Here is an 18,431-nt window from a genome sequence, read left to right as displayed (position 1 = left end):
GGGGAGAGGAAGACTGACCAGAGGCGCTGACTCCAACCTGCAATATCTCCCCTCCACAGTCCCCATAACTCTCTGATCCTCCTCCCCTTAGTATTCTGTCCCACATGGACAGACAGACAGACAGCTAGGCGTGTGAGTGGATGGATAGATGGACAGAGGGGTAAATGGAAGGATGAATGGACAGAAGGACTGGTGGGTGGGTAGGTGGGTGGGTGGGTAAGTGGGTGAATGGATGGATGGACAGAAGGACTGATGTGTGGGTGGGTGGGTGGATGGATGGATAAATGGATAGATGAATACAAAAGTTAGCTGGGCTTGGTGGCGTATGCCTGTAATCCCAGCTACTTGGGAGGCTAAGGTGGGAGAATCACTTGAACCCGGGAGGCAGAGGTTACAGTGAGCCGAGATCGTGCCACTGCACTCCAGCCTGGGTGACAAAGCGAGACTCCATCTCAAAAAATAAATAAATAAAATAAAATAGATGGATGTATGGACAAAAGGACTGATGTGTGGGTGGGTGAGTGGGTGGATGGATGGCTGGCTGGCAGGCTGGCTGCCTGGCTGGACAGAAGGACTGATGTGTGGGTGGATGGATGGATGGATGGATGGATGGATGGATGGATGGATGGGTGAATGGATGGATGAATAGATGGATGGACAGAAGGACTGATGTGTGGGTCGGTGGGTGGATGGATGGATGAATGGATGATGGATAGATGGATGGACAGAAGGACTGATGTGTGGGTGGATGGAGGGATGGATGGACAGAAGGACTGATGCGTGGGTGGGTGAGTGGGTGAGTGGGTGGATGGATGGTTGGATGGATGGATGGATGGACAGAGGATTGATGGGTGGGTGAGTGGGTGGGTGGGTGGATGGATGAAGAGGAAAGTGCAGGTTGGGACAGCTGGATGGAGAGATGGATGGTGGGTGGGTGGATGGATGGATGAATGGATGATGCATAGATGGATGGACGGAAGGACTGATGTGTGGGTGGATGATGGATGGATGGACAGAAGGACTGATGTGTGGGTGGATGATGGATGGATGGACAGAAGGACTGATGTGTGGGTGGGTGGGTGGATGGATGGATGGATGAATGGATAGACGGATGGATGGATGGATGGATGGATGGACAGAGGACTGATGGGTGGGTGAGTGGGTGGGTGGATAGGTGAATGGATAGATGGATGGATGGATGGATGGATGGATGGATGGACAGAGGACTGATGAGTGGGTGGATGGATGGATGGATGGATGGATGAATGAATAGATAGATGAATGGGTGGATAGGGATGGGTAGAAGAATGGATGGATGGATGGATGTGTGCATGGATGAGTTGGTGTATGGATGGGAGGATGGGTAGGTGGGTGGGTAGATGGATGGATGAATAAGTGGATAGATGGGTGGATGGGTGAATGGATGGATGGATGGATGGATGGATGGATGATGGTTGGGGGATGGGTGGGTGGATGGTCAGAAGGATGGATGGATGGATGGATGAATGGGTGGATAGATGGGCGGATGGGTGGATGGGTGAATGGATGGATGGATGGATGGATGGGGGATGGGTGGGTGGATGGTCAGAAGGATGGATGGATGGATGGATGGATGAATGGGTGGATAGATGGGCGGATGGGTGGATGGGTGAATGGATGGATGGATGGATGAATGGGTGGATATATGGGTGGATGGGTGAATGGATGGATGGATGTGTGCATGGATGAGTTGGTGGATGGATGGGTGGATGGGTAGGTGGGTGGGTAGATGGATGGATGAATGAGTGGATAGATGGGTGGATAGGTGAATGGATGGATGGATGGATGGATGGATGGATGGATGGATGGGGGATGGGTGCGTGGATGGTCAGAAGGATGGATGAGAGGAAGGATGGCTCCTAGCTCATTCCTTGAATTTATACTCAGATGAACCCTGGTGCCATATGCTGGATGGTGGGATCTCTGGCTAGATGGCTCAGCAAAGGTGCGGGTTTAGATACCCCAAACTTCCAAGCTAACTACAATCCCTACTACCAGTTAGACTACATGACACAGAACATAAGCATCAGGGCTGACTGAGATGGACATAGGTACATTCAGAAAACGTCTATGGTGGGACCTCATCTAGGCCCAGGGGGATCCCAGATGGCACTTGTTTGGAGGGTGGTTGGCGCTTAAGAGCAGCAGCAGAAAGGGAGGTCCTCAGCCCTGTCTCCTTCCTCCTTGCTGTAGTCGGAGTCCGGCCAACACCTGGGCACCAGGGGAAAGTGGCCTGCTGGGGGAGGAAGTCAGGCCTGGGGAGGCTGTGGACCCTGGGAGCTTCCTTGCCTGCCCCCGCCCCACCTTCACTCCTGCACACAAAGGCACAGAGACACACGAATGCACAACGCCTCGCCACGCTCTCGCACGGATGCCACGTGGCAGCAGAAGTAGAAGACTCCACCCTGCTCAGCTTCTGACCTGTGACCTTGGCCATGTCGCTGGCCCTCCCTAAGTCTCTGTCTCCCCATTGTGGGTGGAGGGGCTGGGCCCAGGGGCCTGGGGGGCAGGAGGCTGAGGCTGGGTGTGGGCTGGGGCTGTCCTGGCCCCCGCTCCTGTTTCGACCACCAGGCTTCCTCCCCCTGCCCCTCTGGGGAGGGACCATAATTAACGTCTTCCTGTTCAGATCAGGAGTCCGTTTCCAAAAACATTTTTGGAAGGATTATTTTGCAAAGGAAATGTTTTTGAAAGACTCTTGTGTCCCGTCCCGGCCGAGGGAAGTGGGAGCAGCAGTTGGAGCGGGGATAGCGGGTGGGTGGGGGTGGCCCCTGGTGGCCCTGGGGGCCAGGGTGAGTGGCAGCCAGACTCCAGCCCCTGAGCCCCTCTTTGTGTCTGCTCTGCCCCCAGAGCGCAGGGTCCTGGGATGGTGGGTGGAGAGGGTGGAGACCGAGGGAGACAGGAAAGGGGGGTGAAAGGGGGAGGAAGGGTCCCCGTTTCCTCACTGCCCACTCACTCCATGCCCTCTGAGGACCTCTCGTTGCTAAATCCAAGCATCCCCTCCCAGGCCTTGTGCCAGCACCTCTCACACCATTTTCCTTGGGCAGTCAGCGCCCAGAACCCTCTGCCTGGCTCCCAGCCTGGCGCACAAGCCCACCTTTCTTTCTTTCCTTTTTCTTTTTGAGATAGTCTCACTCTGTCACCCAGCCTGGAGTGCGGTGGCACAATCTCGGCTCACTGCAGCCTCTCCCTCCAGGGTTCAAGCGATTCTCCTGCCTTAGCCTCCCTAGTAGCTGGGATTACAGATGCCCGCCAACATGCCTGGCTAATTTTTGTATTTTTAGTAGAGACAGGGTTTCACCATGTTGGCCAGGCTGGTCTCGAACTCCTGACCTCAGGTGATCCACCCGCCTCGGCCTCCCAAAGTGCTGGGATTGCAGGCGTGAGCCACTGCACCCAGCCACAAGCCCACCTTTCTCCCACCCCTCCTCCAGGCCCTCTCCTGTCCCCTGAAGGTGGCTCTGGGCTCTGTCCTGGGCCCAGTGTCCTCTGGCTCATGGGGCAGGTGTCTTCTAGCACCACAGACACCTGCCTGGGCCCAGCCTGCCCCCTCCCTGGTCAGCTGCGCCCTTGGATACCTCAGGCTCACTCTGTCTTCTCTCTTCTTTTTTCGTTGATTGTGAGGCTCTCCTTTGAGACTGTCTCTTCTTCTTGAACTTGGCCCTCACTCAAGTGTCCCCATCCCATCTTGTAGAAGGCCCTCCATCCAATACCTGAGTTAAACACACACGGTTTTTCATTGCTTATATTTTCTATCCTGAAAAACACGTGGCAAAAAGTTAGCACCGGGGAGCAAGCAATGTGGGTCATTCAGCAGATGCTTAAGGCTTTCAGAAGGAAGTGCCTCTCTTTCCGGGCAGGGGTGAGCTGGGGGCACGGGAGGCCCTGCAGACCCCGCCCTGACACTGACCCATGCAGACTCCAGGCCAGCCCCTGGCCCCTGACCCCCAACTCCAGCCCCATCATCGGGCTGCCCACCTCCCTGCCTGCCAGACAGCCCCCTCCACAGCCAGTGGGCTCAGGCTGGCCCCAACCCCCTCTGAGCTTTGGTCCTTGTTAGTTTTTTTTGGTCCAGATTGTCGTGGTTCTCTGTGGCCTCCCAGCTCCCAGGGCACGGTGACCGATTCGTAAATGTTGCTTGAATACATGAAGGAGATGACTGGCTCGTGTAGAACTGGATAAAGCTTCTTGCATCAAAAATGCTTTCCTCTCAGAAGAATACCTCCAGCTCCTAAATTCCCAGCCTCCCCTGGGCCTGGGCCTGAAGACGGGACAGCCAGGCTCCCTGGGAGCTCCTTCTCTGCCTCAGTTTCCTCACCTTCCCCAACTTCGTCATTGCCAGCCTTCCCGGCTCTCCCTTGCCCCCTGACCACCTCGGGCTGGGGAAACTCCACCAGCTCTGCCCAGGGCTGGCCATGCTACGCTGAGGACATTTCCCAATGCCCTGGGGACCCAAGGAGTGGGTGGAACATTCTATCGGAGCCTGCTGGCCAGCTGAATTAGTGGTGACCAAGTGTGCAGGGCATGGGGGAAGACTGCCTGGCCAAGCTGTGCCCTCGCCTGACAGCCATGCTGTGGTTCCTCAGATTAACTCCCCCGTCTCTCTGAGCCTCAGTTTCTCCTCTGGGAAAACAGGGGTGCTGGGAGATGGGCCCTCTGTGGGGCCCAACCTGGTCAGATAGGGCTCCTGGGATTCTGGACACCGTGGGGGCCCCATCCCTGCCGAGGCTCATCCCTCTGACCCCGGCTTGGGGACACTGTCTTCTCTCTCTCTGCAGGGCCTCCTGGCTGGGGGCGGGGGAGAGGGGGCGCGTCCGGCAGAGGCCTCTCTTAAGGGAGTACTGGCGACCTGTACTCACTGGGGGGTCCCTCTCCCCTCCTTCCCCCAGACTGTTTCTCCAGGTGAGGATACCTGTCTCCACATCCCTTGTTTTCTTCTGGCCCTCTCTGCGTGCCCCCCTCTCTCCATCCATTTCCAGGCCCACCCTCCCCAGGACTTGGCAGTGCTCCCAGCTCTGGGCTGGGCTCCTCCACCCTCCACAGCTGTCCTGGAGCTGGTGTGAAGTTATTTTGGGAGCTGATGGCTCCCCTGGGTCTTTTCCCCGCAGCCTTGGCAGGAGCATGAGTTCGAGGCCAGCCCAGCTGCATGTCTCTGCAGAAGCTGGTGTGGAAAAGCTGGGCCCTGACTTCCCAGTCCCAGGTGGGGCAGGGGTTTCCGGCTGTGTGGGCCACGGTCTGCCCCATGAGGATTAGGGGTGGGAGCAGACCCCGACCAGCTCCTTCCCACACCACTCCCCAGGCCTGGGCATCTGGGTCCTGCCTTTTGAGGGATGCTGGAGGACCCCACGGCGTCCAGCCCCAGCCTGTCTCTCTCATGGCCTCGGACCCACCCCACAATGTCCCTCACCCCATCCTCTCTGCACCCCCTGCTCTGGCCATACGGATCTCCTTCCTGCTCCTTAAGCACCCCCATCTCACCATGCTTTGTCCCTGTGCCAGCATTCCTCCTCCAGCGTCCTGTCCTGGGTCACCCTCAAGAGCCCAAGAGCCTCCCACTCCCACCCCACATTCTGCTCCAGTTCTCCCTCCCTCCCTCCCCCCACCCATCATCTTCATCCTGCACCGTCTGATAGAAACATGACACAAGTTTGGGCATGGTGGCTCACGCCTGTAACCTTAGCACTTTGAGAGGCCAAGGCGGGTGGATCACCTGAAGCCAGGAGTTTGAGACCAGCCTGGCCAACATGGTGATACCCCGTCTCTACTAAAAATACAAAAATTAGCCGGGTGTGGTGACGGGCACCTGTAATCCCAGCTACTCGGGAGGCTGAGGCAGGAAAATCTCTTGAACCAGGGAGGTGGAGGTTGCAGTGAGCCGAAGTCTCGTCATTGCACTCCAGCCTGGATGACAGACCACGACTCTGTCTCAAAAGAAAAAAAAAAAAAAAGGAAAGAAAGAAAGAAATATGACTCAGCCGGGCAAGGTGGCTCACGCCTGTAATCCCAGCAATTTGGGAGGCCGAGGTGGGTGGATTGCTTGAAGTCAGGAGTTCGAGACCAGCCTGGCCAACATGGCGAAACTCTGTCTCTACTAAAAATATAACAATTAGCCAGGCATGGTGGCACAGGCCTGTAATCCCAGCTACTCAGGAAGCCGAGGCAGGAGAATTGCTGGAACCCAGGAGGTGGAGGTTGCAGTGAGCCGAGATTGCGCCACTGCACTCCAGCCTGGACGACAGAGCAAGATTCTGTCTCAAAAAAAAAAAAAAAAAAAAGTATGACACAAGCCACGGTTGCCATTTTAGATTTTCAACTAGCCACATGAAAGACATCTTTTTGCCAGACATGGTGGCTCAGGCCTATAATCCCAGCACTTTAGGAGGTCATGGGGGAGGATTACTTAAGGCCAGGAGTTTGAGACCAGCCTGGGCAACATAGTGAGATCTCCGTCTCTACAATCAATCAATCAATCACTCAGCCAGGCATGGTGGCATGTGTCTGTAGCCCCAGCTACTCAGGAGGCTGAGGCAGGAGGATCACCTGAGCCCAGGAGGTAGAGGCTTCAGTGAGCCATAATCATGCCACTGCACTCCAGCCTGGGTGACAGAGTGAGACCCTGTCTCTAAAAGAAAAAATAAAATTTAAGCAGTTATAATTACTTTTTTTTTTGAGATGGAATTTCGCTCTTATTGCCCAGGCTGGAATGCAGTGGCATGACCTTGGCTCACTGCAACCTCTGCCTCCTGGGTTTAAGTGATTCTCCTGCCTCAGCCTCCCGAGTAGCTGGGATTACAGGTGCCCGCCACCATACCTGGCTAATTTTTGTATTTTTAGTAGAGACGGGGTTTCACCACGTTGGCCAGGCTGGTCTCGAACTCCTGACCTCAGGTAATCCACCCACCTCGGCCTCCCAAAGTGCTGTGTGGCGTGAGCCACCACGCCTGGCCCTGTAATTACTTTTAATAAGATATTTTGGCTGAGCGCAGTGGCTCACGCCTGTAATCCCAGCACTTTGGGAGGCCGAGGTGAGTGGATCATGAGGTCAGGAGTTTGAGACCAGCCTGGCCAAGATAGTGAAACCCGTCTCTACTAAAAATACAAAAAAAATTAGCCGGACGTGGTGGCAGGCGCCTGTAATCCCAGCTACGGGGAGGCTGAGGCAGAGAATTGCTTGAACCCAGGAGGCAGAGGTTGCAGTGAGCCAAGATCCTGCCAATGCGTTCCAGCCTGGGCAACAGAGGGAGACTCGATTTCAAAAAAAAAAAGAAAAAAGATATTTAACCCAATTATGTCGAAACTATTATTCTTTTAACATGTAATCAATATGAAAATTACTGTTATCATTTTCTTTTTGAGATAGGAACTCACTCCTGTCACCCAGGCTGAAGTGCAGTGGCTCCATCACGGCTCACTGCAGCCTCAACTTCCCAGGCTAAAGCGATCCTCCCACCTCAGCCTCCCGTGTAGCTGGGACTACAGGCATGCACCACCAAATCTGGCTAATTTTCTGTATCGTTTGTAGTGATGAGGTTTTGTCACGTTGCCCAAGCTGGTCTCAAACTCCTGGGCTCAAGCGATCTGTGCGCCCACCTTGGCCTCCAAAAGTGTTGGGAGTACAGGCATGAGCCACCTCGCTGGCCCCAATATGAGACTTATTACCCAGAAATCTTACATTTTTTGAACTGTTTTCAAATTCCTGTGTGTGTGTGTGTGTGTGTGTGCGTGCGCGCGCGCGCGCGTGTGAGGGTGTGGGTGTGTGTCTGTGTGTGTCTGTGGGAGTGTGTGTGTGTGAGTGGTGAGTGTGTGTGTGTGTGTGAGTGTGTGTGTGTGTGTTTGAGGCAAGGTCTCATCCTGTCGCCCAGGCTGGAGTGCAGTTGTGCAATCATGGTTCACTGCAGTCTCAAACTCCTGGGCTCAAGCAATCCTGCCTCAGCACCCCCAAGTAGCTGGGACTGCAGGTGCGTATCCCCATGTCTGGCTAAGTTTTTAATTTTTTTTTATAGAGACGGGGTCTACTTATGTTGCCCAGGGTGGTCTCAAACTCCTGGGCTCAAGCAGTCGTCCCGCCTCGGCCTCCCAAAGTGCTAGGATTACAGGCATGAGCCATTGCGCCCGGGTGCTGGGCCCCAGGGTGTTTTTGATGCTCACGTCTGAATTCGGATGTTCCAGGTGCTTCATGTCTACGTGCAGGCAGCGGCTGTTGGATAGGACGGCACAGCTCTATGCCGTTGTCCTGTTGTACGTTTTTCCTGGCACCTATCACTATCCAGAATACCCTGTTTATTGGTTGAGGTATTTATCATCTGTCTCTCCCACAGCAATATCAGTTCTGTGAGTGCAGAGACCTGTCTGGTTCACCGCTGCATCCCCGTACCCACAACCGCCACCCAGTAGGCACTCTCTCTCTCTGGAAATGTTTATGGATGAGGAGTAAGGGCGGCAAGGGTACGGCTCTCCTCCCCTCGCCCCAGTTCCACCCTTCCAGCTGCTCAGGAGGCTGAGGCAGAAGGATCTCTTGAGGCCAGGAATTTGACCACAGCCACAAAAAAATAAAATAAAATAGAAAATTAGCTAGGCATAGTAGCGTGCATCTGCAATCCCAACTACTTGGGAGGCTAAGGTGGGAGGATCGCATGAGCCCAGAGGTCTGAGGCTGTACTGAGCTGTGATCTTGCCACTGTATTCCAACCTGGGCAACAGAAGGAAAACCTGTCTCTGAAAGAAAAAATAAATTAAGCAGGTGTAACTACTTTTAACGATATATTTTATTTAACCCAATATGTCAAAATCCTTATCCTTTTAACATGTAATCAATATAAAAATCAATGAGATATTTCACCTTTTTTTGTACTAAAAGTTTTCAAAAGTTGGTACAAAAAAAACCTAGTACTCTGTGGCCCCAGGTTACAGAGCAGCACGCCGAGGTTCAGGCTGGGGAGGTCTGTAGACAGGGAGGCTTGAACCCGTGCCTGCTTGACCTCTGTCCCCCCTGGCCCCCCTGGCTCTGAAGCTGGTGCTGGGGGAGAGGGATCCTGCGGCCCTGGAGACTCCAGCATCCCCATCTCAGGCCAGCTCCAGGATCCCCCAGCCATTTCTCATCTAATTGGATTCCCAGCTCTTCCTTCCTCAATTCCAGGTCACTGCTGTGTTTGTTTATAAACCTGGTGCAGACTGCATCCCTGGAGCCTAGTACCCATCTGTAGAAATCATCACGATCCTCCTCCAGGCCAGATGTCAGCTGGGCTGCTCCACCCCACTCCACCCCATCCTGCTCAGCTGGCTCCCATTGGCTTTTATTTATTTATTTAGAGATGGAGCTTCACTCTGTTGCCCAGGCTGGAGTGCAGTGGTGTGATCTCGGCTCACTGCAACCTCAACCTCGCGGGTTCAAGCAATTCTCCTGCCTCAGCATCCCAAGTAGCTGGGATTACAGGCATGCACCATCACTTCTGGCTAATTTTTGTATCTTTAGTAGAGACCAGGTTTCGCCGTGTTGGCCAGGCTGGTCTCAAACTCCCGACCTCAACTGATTCACCCACCTTGGCCTCCCAAAGTTCTGGGATTACAGGCGTGAGCCACCTTGCCTGGCCCCCATTGGCGCCTGGCCAATAGTCCCAGTGTCCAGCCAGCCCTTTCTGATTGGTCTGTCTGGAGTAGTTGAGCTTCCTCAAAGATGGCTGCCACGTTGAGTTCACTCATTGTTGGTACTGGCTCAAGGCCCAAGGAGTTTTCACAGCATAGCAAGGTCCCAGCCCCCATGTGTTCTAGACCTCATCCTCACTACTCCACTCCCTGTTCCCCTCATTCAGAATCATTAGGGAGCCCTCCCCTCAGCCCAGTCCCCCGCCCCAAGCAGCACCACAATTTACAAGGGCTTTTGGAGTCTCTCAGGCACATCCTTTTGATCAGGCTCCCTACTGACCCCTGGAGGTTGTTCACAGCAAGACTCACCCTAGAAACATGCAGAGTGGCCTCAGTTTCTCCATCAATAAAATGGGAATGAAAGCCCTCATCTATCAGGGACGGGAATAGATGTGAACTTGCTTTGAGGACTGTACAGTGAGGGGCCATTGCTAACGATTGCTGAGCACAGCTGTGGAAGCTGAGAAAATGAGGGGGGCAAGCCCTCCCTAACCCTGGCCCTGCCTCTGCAGGGCAGCGGTGAAAATCACCAGCACAGACAGTGACTGGCTGCGTGAACCTGGGCCAGGCAGAGCGCCCCTTTGAGCCTCAGTTGCCACATCTATAAAATAGGTAGTAAAATAAAATGGGAGTGCCGTGGCTCCCTCCCAGGGTGGTCATGAGCACTCTGGGTGAAGGTCCCAGCCTGGTGCAGGTGTCTGGTAAATGTGGGCTCTGTCCTTTCCTGGGGGAGCCCCTGTCTGGGCATTAGCCTCCATGTGCTGTCCCAGGCTCCAGGCCAGACAGGGAGGAAGAATCCCCCAGTCCCTCACCCACACAGTGGGCATCTCAGCAGCCCTGAGTTCTGCAGCTCTCACCCTTCATGTCCCTCCTTTGGGACAAGGCCAGCCTTGCTTCTGTCCCCAGCCCAGGAGACAACCTTCATTACAGCATTGAGTGCAGAGCAACGTTCATTATCCCACTTGGAGAAACTGAGGCCCAGGGAGGGGCAAGGACTCTCTCAAGACCCCTCACCTGGCCGGGTGCGGTGGCTCACATCTGTAATCCCAGCACTTTGGGAGGCCAAGGCGGGCTGATCACCTGAGGTCAGGAGTTCGAGACCAGCCTGACCAATATGGTGAAACCCCATCTCTACTAAAAATACAAAAATTAGCCAGGCATGGTACCACGTGCCTGTAGCCCCAGCTACATGAGAGGATGAGGCAGGAGAATCACTTGAACTCAGGAGGTGGAGGTTGCGGTGAGCCAAGATCGTGCCACTGCACTCCAGCCTGGGCGACAGAGCAAGACCCCATCTCAAATAAAATAAAATAAAATAAAAAGGCCCTTCACCTGTTGGAGGCAGCTGGGCCTGGTTTGATTTTCGGGGGATGTAGGGGTAAAGGTGCAGAGGAAGCAGGGAAGTCCCAGGGAGGTATGCCTGGCTAAGACCCTGCAGGAGGGAGGCCCACCAAGAGGGAGCCAGGTGACGTCCAAGGTCCTTGGGGCCGTATGCTCGCCTGCCTGTGCCAGGGAAAGGGAGTGGCATCAGAACGGGCAGCCCCTGCTTGGTGCTGGCTCCAGCCAAATCTTATCAGCCCTCAAAATGCCCCCGAGTGAGCAGATTCTCTGTGTAATAAGAGACTCAAGGTTGGCATACACCGGCTGCAGACAATGGCCAGGCACTAGGTGGGCAACTGGTCCAGGAAAAATGCTGGACCACTGAGAGTTAATCAGGGAGCCAGGAAGGGCCAGACCCCAGCCAGGCAGCAGAGATTGGGGTGGGGACGTGTCTTCTCCATCCCCATCTTGGTTCTTTACTCTTCCCAACTCTTCTCACTCCAGGGCCTTTGCACGGGACGTTCCCTTTGCCAGAAACACCCTTCCCTTCTCTCTTCCAGATTCAGTGCCAATGTCACCTCCTCCAGGAAGTCTTCCCTGACTGCCCATATCAAGGCCAGGTCCCCCCAGCATATAAGACTCTCACTCCCCATCTTTTCCCTTTCAGAGCATTTATCATAATATTAATAGTACTTAAATAACGGCATGCTGGATTTTGCCATTTAGTGTCTGCCCCCTCCCCCAGACACCAGAAGCTCTGTGAGGACAAGGATTGTATCCATCTCTCCGTCTTGTTTACTACCACACAGGACCTGTCACCTAGCAGGTGCTCAACAAATATTTGCGGAATAACAGAATGGCCAGCTGGTTTTCTCCCCCATCGGGGCTGTGGGGCAGGTGGCCCCCCTCCCAGAGTTGAGCACCCAGTGAAGCACATATCAGGGGCTCAGCTATGGGTGGGATGAGCTGGGGCTCCCTAGCTTCTTTCTGGTACCTGGGAGGCCTTCACCTGCCCTGAATCAGGGATGGCAGCGTCACGGCACTGCCCAGGCACCTACTGTGTGCCACGCAGGAGGGCGGGAGGTGGAGGATCAGGGGTCCCACATGGGTCAGGTGCAGACCTGTTCCTCTCCTATAGCCTCTCACGGTCCTAGGCAGCCCTGGGCGCACTGCAGGGCCTCAATTAATGGTTTGGATGGGAAGTGCCCTCCGTCCTGAGGGAGGCAGAGAGGGACCCAGGAAGCTTCTACGAGATGGACTGTGGAGAGAAGGCACTCGGGACAGGCAAGTTGATGGGACAGGCGGTGGCTGGGGACAGCTGTGAGAGAATTTAGAAGGGACAGGTGAGGGAGTATCGGGGAGTGATGGACCCCGCTGCCCCTCTGCAGAGCTCCAGGGTCCTCGTCAGCCTGGGATCAGCGCTCCCCAGTCACGGCCAACCCCAGCCTTTAACGGGACCCATGGCCAAGTTCCACAGGGGCCTTGGAGCAAGTGCTGGGGCCAGAGCTCTGGTGCCCACCCTGCTATTGCCGGCTCCCAGCAAGCCCCTCACCTCCTGGGCGGGCCTCGGTTTCCCCATCCGTGTAATGAGGACATGGTGCTTTTCAGCTGCCCTGGCCCTCTCCCTGTGCGGCTCGCCTCCCTCCTGACCCAAGGTTGTACTTGCACCGCGGCCTGACAGGGCGAGGAGCTGGCCCTCCTTGAGGCAGAGCTGGCTGCAGCCATCCGTCCTGGGGTCGGCTCTTGTTCCAGTCCGGCGGGAGCTGCCCGCGCCTCCTCCAGCGGGGGCTGAGAATTTCCGTGCTGACCTCACCATCTGGACGAGCGGTTCCAGATGTGGCCGGGGGCGGGGAGGGGGTTCCTGGGAAGGTCCTGGAAGCTTCAGAGGGTACTGAGGCTGAGAAAACTGCCAGCCTAGCCTGAGACTTCCCTCGAGCCAGGGCCCCTGGAATCACCCATGTTCAGGCCAGGCTGGGTGCTCGGTGCTGGCTGGAGTGTGGGACAGGAGAGGAGGGCAGGGGCCGAGGGGAGCACCAGACGGGGAGTCCAGAGGCTGCATTTGCATCTGGCTCTGCTGCTTCCTCGCTGTGGGGCCACGGGGTGACTTCTTCATCCAAACCTCAGTTTCCTCATCCTCAAATGGGTACATTGACACCTGACTCCAGGAATTCCACGGAAGCTCTGCCAGGCTCCCGGAAAGATGAGGCCATCCTTGTTAAATGGTCCCTGGGAAGCTTATGCCAGGAAGCTCTGGGGACACTGAGGCGTGTCAGATCCTGGCTGGTGCCCAGCGTGGCTGGTCCCCCTCCAGCACAGTCCAGCCTCCCACTCTCGGGCCTACTATCCTGCTGTTGCTCCTGCTGTTCCTGCTCCCTGGGACACCCTTCCTCACCACCTTCTAACTCCTACTCATTCTTCAAGACCCGTTTCAGGTGCCTCCTCCTCCAGGAAGCCAACGCTGTTAGCCCCATATCCCAGCCTGGTGAGGGGCTCTGTTTCCAGGGGACAGTCTAGCATGGTTTTTGGGTGCACAGACTCTGGGACGGGCTGCCGGGTTCACATCCTGGCTTTGTGACTCCCTTGCTGTTGTGACCTTGGGCAAGCCCCTTAACTTCTCTGTGCTCTCGTAGCCTCCCTCAAGGGGAGAAAGAAAACCACCCGTAACACGTGTGAACAACTCAGCCTGCCGCCTGGTCCGGCGTGAGCTCTCAGTAGACGGTGGTGGTTGTTATGCGATGGGCAGGATTTTTTCCCCCACATCCCTGAGTTCCAGCTCCATGCTGGGCACTGCCTCGCGATAGAGGCTCAGGACAGAACGGGCTTCGGAGTCCAGGCGCTCTCCTGGTGAAGTTCCTCGCTCAGCCGGGTGCAGACGGGAGCCCGTGAAGGTCAAAACCCCTGGGCAAACCGCGCATCCGGGTGGGCGTGTGGGACAGGAGAAGGAGAGGTCTGTTTGCTCCCGGGCCCCAAGCCACAGCACCCAGTGGCTGGTGCCCAGCCAGCAACTCAGCATGGGCACTGCCTGCTGTGCCACCCCGACCCCTGAGGCTGGCCAGCGGGGAGTGGGCCGGGGTTGGACCTGCACTCCCTGGAGTCAGGGTTGAGGACGGGCTGTGCCTGCAGAGCTCGGGGTCTCTCTCTGTCACCCACCCAGTTCTGACTTCTGGGCCCTTGGTTGTCCGGGTTGCCGAGATCTTTGGCGGCTCCTGGCTCCCGCCCCAGGAGGGAGAGGCTCTGAAGCCACAGTAAACGGGGTGAGGTCACAAGTCTACACACAGGCCAAGTACACGTGTCACCATGGGGACGAGGGCCAGCCTGCTTCTCCCTGGGTGTTAGGAGGCATGCAGCTTTCTGAGAACTGTGGGTGCCCGGACTGGGCTCACACAGCCCTTTTGGCCTCGAAGCCTGCTGAGCTTCCTGTAACACAAGCCCACTGCCCAGATGGGGAGGTTGAAGCTCAGAGAGGAGTGGGCCTGGCAGAAGCAGGGACCTCAGGCCCCCCTCATCCCAGGCAGCGGCACGCAGGCCTTCTGTCTGGCAAGTCTGGGGCTCAAGCCCCACCCACAGGGCCCCTGATGTCTGGGGCTCTAGGCAGCTCCTGAGACCCAGGCCCTCTACCGCTGCCCCCACAGACCCCAAAGCGAGGGGATGACGGCCGGGCTCCTGTGTCCAGGGTTGTGGTTGCCTGGGCCACCCTACCCTGCCAGGACCCAGGCATGGACAGCAGATGGCATTGCTGGACTGCTGTGCCCAGCGGACGGTGGGGGAGACTGAGGCTCAGAGGCCACGAGCGCCAGGTTGTCAGCTGGTGGGAAGCCTGTTCCAGCCCCCTGCCTCTATGTTCTGCACAGCCCTGGCCCTGAGTCCTGTACCCAGAGTCCTGCTCTGTGTCCTCACTCCGCAGCTGAAACCAGGGCTGTCCCTGGGGCTGGGGGCAGGACAGGGAGGGGGAGGAAGCACTGGCTCCCCTTCCTGCTGTGGTGAGGGCTTCCCTCTCTGTGCTCTTCTGGGGGAGGCACGTAGGAGGGACCTGCGGCTTGCTGGGCCCCAGGACGGCCAGGCAGGATGGGGACGCGGATGTGGCCGGGGAGGGCAGGCACGCTCATCCTCTGCTGCCCAGGGCTGCCCCCTGCAGGGCCACGGCCAGCCCTGCTACGAGCCAGGCAGGAGAGACGGGCTCCACAGCCGCAGGCTCCGCACTGCTCTGCACCACCCAGGGGGCTGGCGGACAGTCACGACCACCTTGAGGCCCCTCCCGGCCTCAGCAGTCCCACCCTCCTACCAGGACGTCCGGGCACAGGCCCCAGCGGCAGCACCCATGGAGAGGTCAGGCGGGACCCAGGTCAGCCCTGCCAGGGCTTGGAGAGAATGGCTGGAAGGGACCCCTGCGGATGGGGGACTGGAGGGCCCACTCGAACACGGGGACAGGGCGGCAGGAGACGTGAGAATGGAGAATCCTGGCGGGGGCATCCTGGGGGCCAGGCCTCTTCAGACACACAGGCAGGGACACAGCAAACCTCCCTGTCACCCAGAGTCTCTGGAACTCACACCCCATGCCTCGCACACTCATGGGCTCACACAATCGTCCGGCCTGCAGCCAGGATACCCACCCACGAGATCACTGCACACGCACTGCACATGGCTGCACATGGCTGCACACACACCCACCTGCAGCAGCCCTAGGGCTCTGTGCCCCCTCCAGGTCCACTTCGGGCCGGTTCCCGTCCTCGGAGGCCCCAAAGCTGCCCGACAGCCTGAGACTCTCTCTGCTCACCTCCCTTCCTCCTTGAGGGCCCAGCTGGTCCCCCCCATGCTCAGCCTGAGGTGGGGAGCATCCTGGGTGTGGGAAAAGCCCTCCCCTCGCCTGCCAGAGCCTGGAATGCGCTGACCAGCGCCGGCCTAATCCTTGCTGTATGCCCCATGGGGTGGCTGAGCCAGTGGGGGCAGGCGGCGGGGGCCAGGGTGGGCTGGGGGACAGGCCCTGCAGCACCACGTGGTCAGACGGGACCTGGGAAGCCAGGGCAGGGGTCGGCAGCCAAGCCTCCCCTCCTAAGCCTGCCCTTGGCCGGATGGGAGGGTTCGAGTCCCTGGAGGGGCCCGTGATCCCGGAGGAAGAGCCGGGCCAGGGTCCCTGCCTAGACCTTGCCGTCCCAGTGAGAAAGGAGTGGCTGCTTTCCTGGATCCTGAAGGAGTGAAGTGGGTGAGAGTCAGGCAGGAGAGGGCTTGGGGGAGCAGGGGCAGGTGACCCATCTCCCTTGCGCCTGCACAGAGAACCAGCTGGAAGGGAGAGGCCCGAGGGGTAGGGAGATATGGGCTGGGAAGGGCCCAGAGACCTTGCCAAGTCACCCGGGGGTGGGGCCCGGCGTTCCCCACCCCCAGCCCCCCCACTCCGGGCGCTCCCCACCCCCAGCCCCACCCCGGCGCTCCCCACCCCCAGCCCTCCCCCGGCGCTCCCCACCCCCAGCCCCCCGGCACTTCCCACCCCTAGCCCCCCATCTATACCCCAGGCTCCCCGCGCCCTCCCACAGTGGCTGGGAGCAGATGGCAGTGCAGGTGGGTGAGACCCTGGACCTGGAGAAGGAGAACGGTGCAGGGCTGGGGGCTCCCTGAGCCACCCGTGCTCTCTCTGCACAGAGATGGGGTATGGGCTCTGGCCTCTCATCAGATCTCAGGGCTGAGAGGGCGTCAGGGTGAAGGTCCCCCCAGAGCTGGCCTGCTGGGCAGGTGTGTCCCTCCCACCCCAGCCCTGGTCACCCTGTCACAAAGACACCAGATGAACAGAGCCTTAGCCTATGTCTGGCACTGGGTTGGGGGCAGGCTGGGTGGGCAGGGACCTTCCTGGACAGATGGGATAGGGTGGGGGTGGGGGTGGGAGGGAGGAGGCTGCAGCCCCATGAGGCTGGTCCCCCTGTCTCTTCCACTCAGTCTAAAGCCTTCTGTGCGGGCGGCCTGGCCCCCGGCTGGAAGCTGCTGGTCCAGGGACATGCTGACTCTGGAGAGGACAGGTCAGCGGCACCGCCCTCCCCTCGCTGGGCCTTGGGCTGGGTGGCCGGCCCAGCTCTTTGCAGCTCTTGACCCGCACCATGTCCGCCCCAGGTTCGAGACTAACTTCTTGTTGGAGACGGGGGACATTGCCTTCCACATCAAGCCCCGGTTCTCCAGCGCCACTGTGGTGGGCAATGCCTTCCAGTACGGCCGCTGGGGCCCGGAGCAGGTGTCTAGCATCTTCCCGCTGGCCCCGGGGGAGCCCTTTGAGGTGACAGGGGCCTGGGTGGGGCCTGGGCTAGGCAGGGAAGGCCCGTGGGGGAACAGGGGGCCAGTGGGCAGCGGGTTCACGGTGGACGCTTACAGGTCAGTGGGCCAGGGCAAGGTCTGGGTGGCCTCCCTGGCCTCAGTTTCCCTACGTGTGCAGTAGGTACCCACCACCCTGGCTACCAGCCACCCCATCTTGGGAGAAAGGAGGGGACTTTGGGCTGGGGGCTCCAAGCCAAGGGACCCCCGGGGCCTGCCAGGCTGTCCTTCCTGGAGACGGCCGGCAGGCACATCACCGTTAAAAGCGGGACCAGACCCCAGGCCCTGGGGGCTGGCACTGAGGTCACTGGCCCCAGCCTGCCCAGATAGAGGTCAGCTGGGACGCGGAGCACTTCCACGTCTACGCCCCGGAGCACAAGGTGCTACAGTTCCCATGCCGTCAGAGGCCGCTGGGCGCCACCACCAGGGTGCGCGTGCTGAGTGACCACTGCCTGGCCCAGGTGGAGCTGGCCAAGAGGGGCCTGAGCTGGGGGTAAAGTCCCTGCCTCTACCCAGGTCCCTGCCCATTCCTGCCCCACACTGCCCACCCCAGCAGGGATTTTGCTTCTCACCCTGATCCGGGGACCCTCCTCCGCCTGGGGAGGGGTTGTCTGCCTGGCGTCCCACCCTGCTCCTCTCCCTGCCAGCCCTGCATATCCGGCCACGGGAGCAGGGCCATGGTCCACCTCCCACCCTGGTCTGTGCATGGGCAGGGCAGGAGCTAGGGACGTGCCTTGGATGTTTGCAGGGACCGGGGCTACTGAGTGACACCTGCACCCCAGGAGCCAGCCTCGGCTTGTCCCATGTCCAGGGTACCTGGAGTCCCACCCTGGGGCAGCTGGGTGAGGGGGTCTGTGGTCCTGTGTGCTCCTCGCAGCTCCACCTTCAATAAACTCTGAGAAGGCTGCAGGCGTTTGGCTGCTAGGGGGTGGCAGGGGGAGGCTCAGGTGGGGCCGGTGCTACGCAGCCCTGGAAGCTGGGGGGCTGGGGGACCCTGAGACCGACACTCCAGAGACGACCCAACCCCCTCACTTTGTCCCCAGGATGCTGAAGCTCTCGCATACGGCGGCCTGCATACGGCCTCGCCGTATACGGTCTCGCATACGGCCGGGATGGACCTGGACCGGGGAGGGGTGTCGGAT

The 18,431-nt window shown here is 58.3% G+C and overlaps 1 protein-coding gene across 1 annotated transcript, besides 3 other annotated features; it reads left to right on the top strand.

Moving 5' to 3' along the window:
• Positions 4,853-5,737: an enhancer, noted in NCBI's record as "H3K4me1 hESC enhancer chr7:2526820-2527704 (GRCh37/hg19 assembly coordinates)". NCBI's record gives its function as "activates a minimal SCP1, AML or CMV promoter by ChIP-STARR-seq in naive H9 embryonic stem cells {active_cell/tissue: H9 hESC(naive)}" and the evidence as "EXISTENCE:reporter gene assay evidence [ECO:0000049][PMID:30033119]".
• Positions 13,769-14,364: an enhancer, noted in NCBI's record as "H3K27ac-H3K4me1 hESC enhancer chr7:2518193-2518788 (GRCh37/hg19 assembly coordinates)". NCBI's record gives its function as "activates a minimal SCP1, AML or CMV promoter by ChIP-STARR-seq in naive H9 embryonic stem cells {active_cell/tissue: H9 hESC(naive)}" and the evidence as "EXISTENCE:reporter gene assay evidence [ECO:0000049][PMID:30033119]".
• Positions 15,014-15,083: a silencer, noted in NCBI's record as "silent region_17873". NCBI's record gives its function as "represses an Ori minimal core promoter by ATAC-STARR-seq in GM12878 lymphoblastoid cells {active_cell/tissue: GM12878}" and the evidence as "EXISTENCE:reporter gene assay evidence [ECO:0000049][PMID:35858748]".
• On the top strand, positions 16,525-18,195 carry GRIFIN (galectin-related inter-fiber protein). The gene is made up of 5 exons (NM_001394787.1): positions 16,525-16,551; positions 16,924-17,003; positions 17,095-17,254; positions 17,616-17,782; positions 18,038-18,195. The coding sequence occupies exons 1-5, from the start codon at positions 16,540-16,542 to the stop codon at positions 18,051-18,053; spliced, it is 435 nt and encodes a 144-aa protein (NP_001381716.1). The 5' UTR covers positions 16,525-16,539; the 3' UTR covers positions 18,054-18,195.

This window comes from Homo sapiens, chromosome 7 (assembly GCF_000001405.40).
Source record: "Homo sapiens chromosome 7, GRCh38.p14 Primary Assembly".
NCBI classification, from domain to species: Eukaryota; Metazoa; Chordata; class Mammalia; order Primates; family Hominidae; genus Homo; species Homo sapiens.
The sequence above is the reverse complement of the archived record's forward strand: the minus strand, read 5'-3'. Positions and strand labels throughout refer to the sequence as shown.

Bases quoted from the DNA above. Each gene is read 5' to 3' on its own strand.
- GRIFIN (NM_001394787.1), top strand. The intron at 17,004-17,094 runs GTCAGCGGCACC...TGTCCGCCCCAG, and splicing joins GCTGACTCTGGAGAGGACAG to GTTCGAGACTAACTTCTTGT. The intron at 17,255-17,615 runs GTGACAGGGGCC...CAGCCTGCCCAG, and splicing joins CCCCGGGGGAGCCCTTTGAG to ATAGAGGTCAGCTGGGACGC.